Below are 12,479 nucleotides of genomic sequence, written 5' to 3'. Positions count from 1 at the left end.
CTCTACTAAAAATACAAAAATTAGCCAGGCATGGTGGTGCGCACCTGTAATCCCAGCTACTCAGGAACCTGAGGCAGAAGAATTGCTTGAACCCAGCAGGTAGAGGCTGCAGTCAGCCGAGATCGTGCCACTGCACTCCAGCCTGGGCGACAGAGTGAAACTCCATCTAAAAAAAAAAAAAGATATGTAAAATTATGACGCTAGTAAGGGTTTTGAAGTAAAGGAACATAGGGATACACGCACATAAAGCAGGTAACTGACCTGGTCTGGGTTTCTGGGAAAGAAAGCCTCTGTGTAGAAGTGAAGTTTCAGCGGTGGTCTGAAAGACGAATAGGAATTAATAAGGTGATGGAGGGATGACCTTTATGAGGTCCTTAAAAGAAGGCCTGCCTAATCAAATTTACTTTTTCAGAATGTCACTGTGGTTGTCCTGTGGAAAACAGGTGGGAAGGACAGCAAGCAGACCACTAAGGAGAGCCTTTGGCACTAGCACAATCAAGAAATTACATATCCAAGTGGTGGAGGATAGAAAAGCTAACTTGGCTGGGATGTAGCTAGCAGAATATATATATATAAATTTTTTTTTTTTCTTCCCGAGATGGAGTCTTGCTCTGTCGCCCAGGCTGGCGTGCAGTGGCCTGATCTCTGCAACTGCCATCTCCCGAGTGTTGAAGCGATTCTCCTGTCTCAGCCTCCTGAGTAGCTGGGATTACAGGTGCATGCCGCCACGCCCGGCTAATTTTTTGTATTTTAGTAGAGACGGGGTTTCACCGTGTTGCCCAGGGTGGTCTCGAACTCCTGAGCTCAGGCAAATCCACCCACCTTGGCCTCCCAAACTGCTAGGATAACAGGCGTGAGCCACTGCGACTGGCCTGCTTATGCTTTTTTTGAGGGGAGGGTGGTGAGACAGGGTCTCACTCTGTCACCCAGGCCTGAGTGCAGAGGTGTGAACATGGCCCACTGCAGCCTTGACTTCCTGGTCTCAAGTGATCCTCCCAACTGTATCCTGAATAGCTGGCACCACAGGTTTGTGTCACCACGCCTGGCTAATTAAAAAAAAAAAAAAAATTGTAGAGACAAGGCCTCACTGTGGGCTCAAACTGGGCTCAAGGGATCCTCACTTCAGCCTTCTGAAGTGTTGGAATTACAGCGGTGAGCCATTGTGCCAGGTCTGATTATGCGTAGAGTTGCAAAAATTTGGTCCTATAAGCAAGGTTGATGCTTTCTGGCAAAAACCAGCCCAATAAAAGCTTTTACTTTTTAAAGAATAAGACCTAATATAGGCCAGGTGCAGTGGCTCACGCCTGTAATCCCAGCACTTTGGGAGGCCAAGGCGGTCAGATCACGAGGTCAGGAGTTCCAGACCAGCCTGCCCAACATAGTGAAACCCTGTCTCTACTAAAAATACAAAAATTAGCTGAGCATGTGGCGTGTGTCTGTAGTCCCACTACTCGGGAGGCTGAGGCAGGAGAATCGCTTGAACCTGGGAGGCAGAGGTTGTGGGGAGCCAAGATCATGCCACTGCATGCCAGCCTGGGTGACAGAGTGAGACGCCGTCTCAAAAAAAAAAAAAAAAGACCTAATAAGTACCACATTGAGTCACCCCTGGTTGCTCTGGGCGACAGAGCAAGACTCCGTCTCTAAATAAATAAATAAATAAAATTAAATGCTTGACCTTTACGTCAAATTAAACTGGCTAGCTTTAAATAGATTTTTTTCAGATTACATGCTCACTCTAGAAAAAAGAGATGTGTGACAAAATACAGAGTGAAAGTATACTTCTTCCCTTTCTATTTTTTGAGAAGCACAATATAGCATCCTGGTAAGTGAGCAGGCTCTGGAACCAAACTGGATTGAAACTGTGGCTTGGGTACTTACTAGCCATGAACTGGAACAATTTATCTGTTTTAATTTCCTTCTATGTAAAATAGGGATAAAAACTATAGTAATTAGAGCTGTAGTGAGCATTAAATGAGTTAATTAATGCATCTAATGTAATTAGAGCAGTGCTTATCACATAGTTGGTGCTCAATGAATACTATTATTAAACTCCATGTATGTGGATACACAGAGACACAAAATAAAGGCAATTACAAATATGTTAGAAAAAGTATTCCAAAACTCCTTATGGCTGTAAAAGCAGCATTACATATTGAGGTTTGAATGGCTGCCTGTTCCATTGTACAACACACTGGAAACTGCTACAGCTAGGTCTCAAGTAACCTGGTCCTTTGTTCTTTAACATCTGAAGAGTACTTTGGCACAGGTCTTTGGAAAGGCTCCTTCTCCCATCATCAGTATGTACTGCATTATTTAAAATTACCCATTTCAAGTAACGACACACAATGAGATTTCAGTGCATTCTCAGCCCATGCTGCTTTATTGCTAAAATATATATATACACAGGTGCAGAGCTTCCAACTTTTTTAACAGTTCCTTTTTACATCAAAGAATTAAATTTCTTCAAAAACCCCAAAGATGCATAGATTAAGAAGCAAGCTGCCTTTTGTAATACTTAAAATAATATTCAATGAAACTCTTAACGTTATACACCAATGGTGCAATGGAGAATATGGAGGACAGCAAGTAAACACAGTGAGCAACTCTTATTCTTACAAGGCAGTAGGTAAAGTATAATGTGAAGGACAGTCTAAGATAATCTTTCTGGTTATAAGAAATGGGTCGGTTTTGTGATAAGTGCCAAGACTGTTACTGTTTAAGGATTGATGATAATGTATTACCAGAATACCTTTCTTATCCCTGGGAGAAAATATTTTTTCACTGATGGAATGACATATCACCAAGGGAGAAAAAAACCTGAATACTGTCAGTAACTAAGATACCTATTCTGACTTTAAAGAAGATTTAGGACTTCATGGAGAAATCTGTGATGTCTGGTTTCCCAAAATTAAGTATTTTAATGTGCCTTAGTGGAATAATCGGAGGAATTTAGAGAAACTCTGTTCTTAATCTTTACTGGCTGACAGACATGCTATCAAGTAATTGGGGAAGACAAACTATATTCAGGATATGACATCTCACTTCATATATTTCAATGGAAACCAAACATCACAGTCACAAGAAGTCTAATTCAATTCTGAACCACTGGAAAGTTACCATTCCACTTTATTCATTCCCAAAGTTATTTGTAGCAAAATCCTACAGGAAAGAATGAAATAAAAAGTTTTCAAAAAATTTTTTTCAATCATAGAATGTAAAACCTTGAATGTGCTTTGTGAAAATCATTTAGTCTAATCTTGAATTCTATTTAGGCTTGTTTCAGACATCATGAATGCCATTTTTACGTCATTTGTCACAATCACTTGTACTTATATAAGGGTTATTTTTAAAGTCAGGAATTTTCTCAAGGAAAATTTTAAGCTACTACAGGCCAGGTGCAGTGGCTCACACCTGTAATCCCAGCACTTTGGAAGGCTAAGGGGGGGCGGATCACGTAAGGCCAGGAGTTAAAGACCAGCCTGGCCAACATGGCGAAACCCCGTCTCTACTAAAAATACAAAAATTAGCTGAGGGTGGTGGTGCATGTCTGTAATCCCAGCTACTCGGGAGGTGGAGGTTGCAGTGAGCTGAGATCACATTGCTTCACTCCAGCCTGGGCGACAGAGTGAGACTGTTTAAAAAAAAAATTTTTTTAAGCTACTGCAATAAATTTGTTTATTCATCAAATAAAATAAATAGCAAGGATTTTCTTCTATTGGAAAAAATAGATAGCAAGGATTTTCTTCTAGTGGAAAAAGTTTCTCCTGTTTAACCTGGCATTAAAAGCTTTAGTCAAGAAATTGCAGTCTGGCCAAACCCATCAAGGATAAAACTTTGGCTATAAAATTTGTTTAAACTGTTTTTTATGCAATAAAATAACAAACTAACCACAGATCTGTCAGTATTTTCAGGACTATTCTACAAAAAGGAAGTCTCCCTTATTGCAGGGGTACTTTATAGTTGGTCATTGGTAGTTGGTACCAGTATCATCCACAACATGTGCCTAGTCATCTGAAAATCCTGAAATAGTGGAAATATGTGCATCCTGACTCTTTTCAACTCAAATCCCAGTTTTAAAAGACCTCAAACTTTGTCTACATAAAGCATATCATAAACAAACCCCATATCCATATCTAGTTATTTTACATACTCCATACTGGCATTCCCTACTTTCCTACTCTTTCTGAAACTCTGCACCTTTCTGATTATTACAGCCATAGCAGCTAGTTTTATTCAGCATGCTTAGTTTGTGTCTTTTGTTTTCAAACATGCTTGGGGACTAATGGAACCAGGCAAGTGGTTAGAGGGTGGGCACTGCTACGCCCTAGTCCTGACAGTTTGAATGTCTTGTGGTTGCCCCTGTTTATCTTCTACTTCCCATTTTCAATGGAAGTAAGAAAAATCCTTTATTAAAACATGAAAATAATCTGAATATATTCAAGCTATTGGTCTTAGTCTCTATTGCTTCATTATTAACAAATGCATATATAAAATAACTAGTAACCACAACACTGGACATTTTGAGTCATGCATTAGAATGTTCGTACTCTAAAACCAGAGTTAAGGTCCTGTCACTATTGCTTGCACTTTCAATCAGACCCAGTTTGAGTTTAATAAGCATGCAAAATAAATTCCTTGATTCAGAGGAATTACGGGACATAACAAGGATCCATGCAAGTTTCAACTCAAAAGTTGGGTTAATAATTGCTTAGAAATGCAGGTAGAAGCTCCACATCTATCACAATGCTGCTTCAGAAAAGGGATAGGAGTCATACACAAAAATGTTAAAATTAGGACCACTAGTCAGTTTTAAAAGGCTTATATGCAAATCCTGGTCCATCTGAGTAGAGAATGATGTACAAACTCTGGGAAAAGAAAGAGAATTGAGGGATGTAGAGTCTTAAGGAGCTGTTAATTTTCTTCGTGATTTACTGACAACTATAACAGGAGAGCATAGGTGGTTTAGGGGGATGGTTAAGATGCTCTTAGGCAGAATGGTTTCTTTTCTGATTCATGCTAATGAGCATTACCTGCATAGCTCCCTGGGGAAAAAAATGATAACGAGCAGGGCTAATACAATGTAAACTCAAGCTATCAATACCCTGAAATTTAGCACAGCCCTCTGCTTTTTAAAACTGTTCACCAAGGGATCCTTCCAAATAGGATATAATTAATAGCCAAGCAATGTTCATTAATAAACTAAAGCAATCTGCTTGAACCAACAGCACCATGAGAATGTAAACTCCTGGAGGCCAAGAGTCTTCATCTTTTTGCATATCACAGATACAAGAAGAGTAAACATGAGACCACAGTAACTTTGAAAAGTAATTAACTGTATACTTTCAAGACTATGAAAAACTCGTAGTATATTTTAGCATTTAGATGTATTAACATGGCTGTTAAGGGTAATCTTTAATTGTTCCAAGTAACTGAACTGCTGACATCATTGTACTATGTAGCGCTGTCCCCAGATAGTGCAGATGTCTGAATATTGCTTGGTTATTCCCATGTCTCTAAGACCAACTGACAGCATAGGACATTTTAAGAGGAGCTATAATCAACTTAACATAGCCTTTTCCCTGTGTGTTAGTTGTCATGTAAGAATTAAATATTAAAGAGGCACTATTTCTTAGATCTACATCACTTCGTTTTTTCCCTGGGAAAACAAAGACCCAGTCTTTTCAGGGATAGTCAAGGTGCTAAAAGGCCAAGATAGACATCAGGTGAAAGGGAGTGAAGTCACCCTAGTTCCACTATTATATTCTGATGTGAGCTGTGTGGTTCCTCAGATCAAGAAAGAAACTAGTTTGCTGAGTTCTCATTGATAAAGAATAAGCAGTCACAGGCCATAGGACACATCTATATTAGACAAGGTTTCACACCTCACCCACTGAAACATATTCACTGGCTATTCCTTTCAGTCCTTCTGCTTTGCATCTTTAAATCCTAACTCCCTAATCATAAGCATGAGAGAAATCCGGCTTATCCATGTTCTTGGGAGTTTTTTTAAAACATTAAACTCACAAACTTCTCTCCCTTTAAAAAAAATGTACCCAGGAAACCAGTGGAGAAAGATGAGGAGACAAAGCAGAAAGTATACCATTCTACAAAATAAATGCCTGTTGCTAAAACATCGTAAGCAAAAAACCCATAGAGCGGCTTCAGTGGGGCTGTAGTACATTTGTTTCCAGGTTAAGCACTATAAAGGTTTAATTTCAACAGCTCTAACCCTCTGATTTAGGAAACAAGCAGGGTCTTTAACCTTTAACTTACAAAAAAGATTATTTCTCACATAAAGATAAATTCATATACATTCATACTGTTCTAAAAGAAAGTACCTTTCATATGCTCTTTATCCAGAACATTTTTTCCTTTTGTGCATTTTTTGTTTGTTTGAGGTGGAGTCTTACTGTCACCAGGCTGGAGTACAGTGGTGTGATCTCAGCTCACTGCAACCTCCGCCTCTCAGGTTTAAGTGATTCTACTGCCTCAGCCTCCTGAGTAGCTGGGATTACAGGCATGTGCCACCATGCCCAGCTAAGTTTTGTATTTTTAGTAGAGATGGCATTTCACCATGTTGGCCAGGATGGTCCTGATCTCTTGACCTTGTGATCCGCCCACCTTGGCCTCCCAAAGTGCTGGGATTATAGGTGTAAGCCACCGCACCTGGCCCTTGTGCAACTCTTGGTTGCAGAGCCCCACAAACTCCAGTAGTATCACTTATTCTATTGTACAACCTTGCTAATGCAAATTACTATACATGCACAAACTTATTGCTACTAAAATTCTACCTCTTGAAAATTACTATTAATTTTATGGCTTTTTTTTTCAACAGGAAATATCCTTTCCTATATATTGTGCTATTCTGTATTCACTACCTTTTCAGTTTTTTTTTTTTTTTTTTTTTTTTTTTTTAAGTTAAATGCTTTTCAGTAATGGATTCTCCCAGGCACTAAACTACTTAAGCCAGGAGTATAACTACTTCAAATACACTATGAGAACCTAAACTTGGGTCTCTGGAGATCTGCTGCCAGAGTCTACTTGTTCTAACCTGTGTATGCGCAAGATACACCACATTATAATAGTTTTGCATTTGCTATCATACATTAGTTATGTAGAATCTGTGTCAGCAAATGCTGGACTCTCCCTAATACTGAAATTTAAAAATCACCTCAGAAAACTGCCAGTTCTGAGTTCTCAAGGCAGCTTTTAGAGGTAGGAATTCCTTCTCTACAGAAAGCTATCTTATTCTTTCAGAACAAAATGACTGTTTTATTTCCACAAGTAAAGTAGATAAAAGTGAAAGCTGTCTGAGGCTTACTATACCCAAGAGAAAGTCTACTCACTACGTAGCAACCTAGGTAGGTGCCACCCAGCTACATTTCCAGTTCTCATGAAAAGATCTGAAAATCCCATCAATAGACAATTCAGCACATTTGGAAATAGGAAGAGCCCTAACAAATAATTGAATACTCCAAATTACTGAGTGTTTGCACACAGCATGCTGCAAACAGGAAATGTAAATGGTCTGCAGATTAGAAAAGCACTCACTGAAGCAATTAACAGCATCTCCATAAGACATGCAAAATGTAATTTCTTGACATACAAGGAGTAGGAAAATAATGAAACTAAAAGACATGCCATGTTAAGACATGAAAAGAGCAGGCCAGGTGGATTACTTGAGGTCAGGAGTTTGAGACCAGCCTGGCCAACACAGCAAAACCCCGTCTCTACTAAAAATATAAAAATTAGCTGGGCGTGGTGGCACGTGCCTGTAGTCCCAGCTACTCGGGAGGCTGGGGCACGAGAATCACTTGAACCCAAGAGGCAGAGGTTACAGTGAGCAAAGATTGTGCCACTGCACTCCAGCCTGGGTGACAGAGTGAAACTCTATCTCCCCCCCACCCCAAAAAAAGAGCAAAGCAGAATAATTAAATGCGGTCTCATTTTGACTTGAGGTTTCATAAGACACAAAGACAGCTGGTTTCCAGATACCTTATGGAAAGCTGAAATGTCCTCAAATATAGTATCTCAGATTTTGACCCCACATTTCTATTCATAAATGAGTCTTTTGGGCCTTAATCTCTTTTCCCCAGGAAGAATATAACAGATTTAGACATTATGGAAAAAGAAAAGGTTTAGATTTTCCACTCTTTTTACACTATTTGTTATTATCAATAATTCATCCTGAAGTTTAAAATCACTAGACTCATGCACTAACCCCTAACATGGCACTACAATATGCTACCAAGCACTAATGCTTACAAAACTATACACATCTCAAAATGGAAGACATTGGTGATTTTGTTGTTCTTAAACAACTTGTAACATTTGTCCACAAGTATTAAAATATACATATATATATATATATTTCTATTGCACATATCCCGGTTTTAACTTTTCAAAAGAAAAACTGCCAGCTAACATGGATGAGCAAGGGAAAGGAAGGAAGCATGGCTACAAATCGACGTATAGTCCTGCCTAAAATTATAGCTTTTCCTATCAAGGGGACCAAAATAGACAAGAAAAAAATGTAGATGTGTTAAGTAAACACTGGGCAACTACAGCTGGAATATATCCATTTTGTTAAATGCATCTGGTCTGAAGCATGGAAGATACAATTTCAAGAGCATTAAACACTGGTTCTCTCAACTGTATATAAAGCATATAGAGACGCTGAGTCTGATAGCTATTCAAACAAGTGGGCCAGAGCTGGTTTCAATGGTGCCAAAAGTACAGGTACTCTACCCCCTGCCAAATGATCCTACCAAAAAAGATGCCAGAAGTACACAGAGAAGATGGGTTTAACAGACACCTGGAAGGTGTCTCCATTCTCCATGATATGACATTTTCAACATACTAGTGGAACACCATATATGTAGGCTCCATTCTGTCTTGAACAGTTCCAAAATATTAAAGAAAAACATCAGGAAGTTGGTAGATTACTTAAGAGAAAAATTTGAGTTACTTTTAACCAAAGTGATTTCTACTATGCTTTTATCACTCAGTAGCTGCCCTCAAAAAAAGAAATATTTTATATATAATATGTAATTATTTTACTGAAAGTATTTTTTACCCATTTCAAATGGGCTGATTGACCAATCTCACTAATAATAAGAGTGCTCACCATTTCCCATTTTAGGCCATTTTTATCACTCTCAAATTTTGGTGAATCTTCCCTAAGTTCCCAGCATCACAGCATTCATGGACCTGAGTAAACATTCCGGAAAACACAGAGATGTTCCAATACTCTGTTCTTAATTTCATCTAATTAGTTTTAAAATTTATTCTCTACTCACAAGAAGCATAAATAAAGGTTTCACTCTTATATAAAGACCTGACAATACATACAATGGTCCTCTGCTGATTTGGAAGCAAAGACAGTTTTCTACGACAGTCTGTTCTTTATAATGTATAACTGTTGTGGGAAAAAAGAAAATCCATTTCTTATTGTAATTATTTTTCTTATTTGAGGTTTCTTTTCCACGATGACCCAACCACAAGTTTGGGAACATTGCTTCTGAGGCCCATTCTCTGATGAGAAAGTTCAGTCCCAACTGGGGAAAGTACCTGAGTCCCAGCCTTTTCAGCCTAGAAATCAGGCTGAGCGTGGTGGTGCGCGCCTGTAATCCTAGCTACTTGGGAGGCTGAGGCAGGAGAATCGCTTGAACCCGGGTGGGAGAGACTGCAGTGAGCAGAAATCACGCATCACTCCAGCCTGGGCAACAGAGAGAGACTGCCTCAAAAAATAAATAAATAAATAAATAAAAATCAAACATCCAAGTATCCACCTTGGGTTGCAGGAAGAGTTAATCTTATGCGTTTATTAAAAAAAGTAACTATATAATGTGAAACACCATAAAGTCAGATGGCACTGCATGAGGGATTTTTGCTTCTTTTTCTTAAGGAAAAGGAGTTACATGGAAAATTCTCTCATCCTCCCCCCTCTGCCCCCAACTCCTCTATGTCCAAAGTTGTTTTTTATTTTTCTGAGACGGAGTCTCACTCTGTCGCCCAGGCTGGAGTGCAGTGGTGCAATCTCAGTTCACTGCAACCTCCGCCTCCCGGATTCAAGCAATTCTCCTGCCTCAGCCTCACGAGTAGCTGGGATTACACGTATCTACCACCACACCTGGCTAATTTTCTATTTTTAGTAGAGATGGGGTTTCTCCATGTTGGTCAGGCTGGTCTCAAACTCCCAACCTCAGGTGATTTGCCTGCCTTGGCCTCCCAAAGTGTTGGGATTACAGGTGTGAGCCACCACACCCGGCCTAGGTTTTTGTTTAAAATTGGGCCTTTGTTCCTATTCAGTAAATCTATGTCACAGGATGAGCCAGGATTTAAATATACAAATATAAATTTTTAGTATCTTTCACGTCAAATTAGAAACACATATTTGGAATTTACTGCTGCAGTCTCAACTGTGCTTATCATGGTAGTGGCTGAAACTGGAAGACATTTTTTTTAAACCCTGAAGTCATTCATACTTGCTACTTCTTTAGTCTTCTTGCTTGGAATGAAAAGTATTCACAAATACCACCACCTAAGCACCTGTTTCAAATGAAACTCAGCCTTCTGCTTGCAAAATGATGTCTTTATAATTAAGCAAACAGCAAAAGACCCATGTGAGTTGCTTCTTTCTTCCTGGAGATGTTAGCAGGATAACTGGAATCCTAGGAGCTCCTCTGTGTTGAATTTGAGAGGCAGAACAAAAAGAAAAGTGGCCTTTTCCATTCCAAATCATGGAGGTAATGTGTAGAGAAGTGATAGCCACATTTCAAAAACGGGAAAGTAACTGGGTAAAAGAAGCAGGACTACCCACTCTAGGAGACAACATAGAGACACCTAGAAATACAAAATAAAAACAGAAAGATTAGGACAGGTACTTTTGCATAAGCTGACTCAAAACAATATCTAAAATGTAAAGAAAAGAATAGGCCGGGTGCAGTGGCTTACATCTGTAAACCCAGCACTTCGGGAAGCCGAAGTGGGTGGATCACCAGGTCCGGAGTTCAAGACCAGCCTGGCCAACATGGTGAAACCCCGTCTCTACTAAAGATACAAAAATTAGCTGGGCGTGGTAACGGGTGCCTGTAGTCCCAGCTACTCAGGAAGCCGAGGCAGGAGAATCGCTTGAACCTGGGAGGCAGAGATTTCAGTGAGCCAAGATTGCATCAGTGCACTCCAGCCCAGGCAACAGAACGTGACTCCGTCTCAAACAAACAAACAAACAAACAAAAAAAAGAATATTTTGGATTACATATTATCTAGAAGAAAATGACCAACCATAACACCAAATTCAGTACTATTATCAGAAAAGCAATAACAGCTAGAAAAAAAAAATACAAGCATGATACAAAAAAAGCTGGATTTATACAAGCATGATACAAAAAACTTTTGCATATAAAACATTTTTTTTTGTTTGTTTTTGTTCTTTCTTTGAGACAAAGTCTTACTCTGCTGCCCAGGCTGGAGTGCAGTGCTGTGATCTCAGCTCATTGCAACCTCTGCCCCCTGGGTTCAAGTGATTCTCCTGCCTTAGCCTCCCAAGTAGCTGGCATTACAGGCATGTACCACCACACCCGGCTAATTTTTGTATTTTTAGTAGAAACGGGGTTTCACCATGTTGGCCAGGCTGGGTTCAAACTCCTCACCTCAAGTGATCCACTCGCCTCAGCCTCCCAAAGTATTGGGATTACAGGCGTGAGCCACTGGGCCCGGCCACATTTGTGTTTTAAAGTAGCACTGAGCCAGGTGCAGCAGCTCACACCTGTAATCCCAGCACTTTGGGGAGGCTGAGGCAGGGGGATCCCTTGAGCCCAGGAATTGGAGACCAGCCTGGGCAACATATCAAGACCCCACTCTACAAAAAATAAAAAATTAGCAGGGCGTGGTGGTGCCCTCTTGTGGTCCCAGCTACTTTGGAGGAGGCTGAAGCAGGAGGATCGCTTGAGCCCTGGAGGTTGAGGTTGCAGTGAGCCATGATTGCACCACTGCACTCAGCTTGGGCAACAGAGTGAGACTCTGTCTCCAAAAAATAAAAATGAAAAATAAGGTAGCACTGCATCTTCGCTTGCACCTCCTATCAAAAGAAAAAAGAAACAAAAATAAACACAAGTAGCACTGTACTCCAAATTTGATATCTAAATATATAATACTCAAAACCATATATATCTTACTCTGAATCACCTTCAACTACCAGCAATAAACGGTATTTTATAAAATATAACTGTAAGTAAAATATATACTGTTCCATTATCACCAAATGTAAACATGTAAATACTAAATCAAGGCCAGGCACAGTGGCTCACGCCTGTAATCTCAGCAGTTTGGGAGGCCTAGGCGGGTGGATCACCTGAGGTCAGGAGTTCAAGACCAACATGGCCAACATGTTAAAAATACAAAATCTCTATTAAAAATACAAAAAAATTAGCTGGGCATGGTGGCGGGTGCCTGTAATCCCAGCTATTCAGGAGGCT

The 12,479-nt window shown here is 39.8% G+C and overlaps 1 long non-coding RNA gene across 4 annotated transcripts in view; it reads right to left on the bottom strand.

Annotated features, from left to right (window-relative positions):
- Positions 1-12,479, bottom strand: part of OIP5-AS1 (OIP5 antisense RNA 1) — a 30,642-nt gene that overhangs the window by 4,453 nt on the left and 13,710 nt on the right. For 2 of the 4 annotated variants that reach the window (NR_152820.1, NR_026757.2), the window contains one exon: positions 2,352-10,845. This is a non-coding gene — a long non-coding RNA (OIP5 antisense RNA 1). Of the gene's footprint in view, positions 1-44; positions 167-261; positions 320-2,351; positions 10,846-10,956; positions 11,140-12,479 lie in introns of those variants that run through there. The other 2 variants (NR_152821.1, NR_152822.1) reach the window with 2 other exon arrangements.

This window comes from Homo sapiens, chromosome 15, assembly GCF_000001405.40.
Source record: "Homo sapiens chromosome 15, GRCh38.p14 Primary Assembly".
NCBI classification, from domain to species: Eukaryota; Metazoa; Chordata; class Mammalia; order Primates; family Hominidae; genus Homo; species Homo sapiens.
Note: the sequence above shows the minus strand (reverse complement) of the source record. Positions and strands in the feature narration are given on the sequence as shown.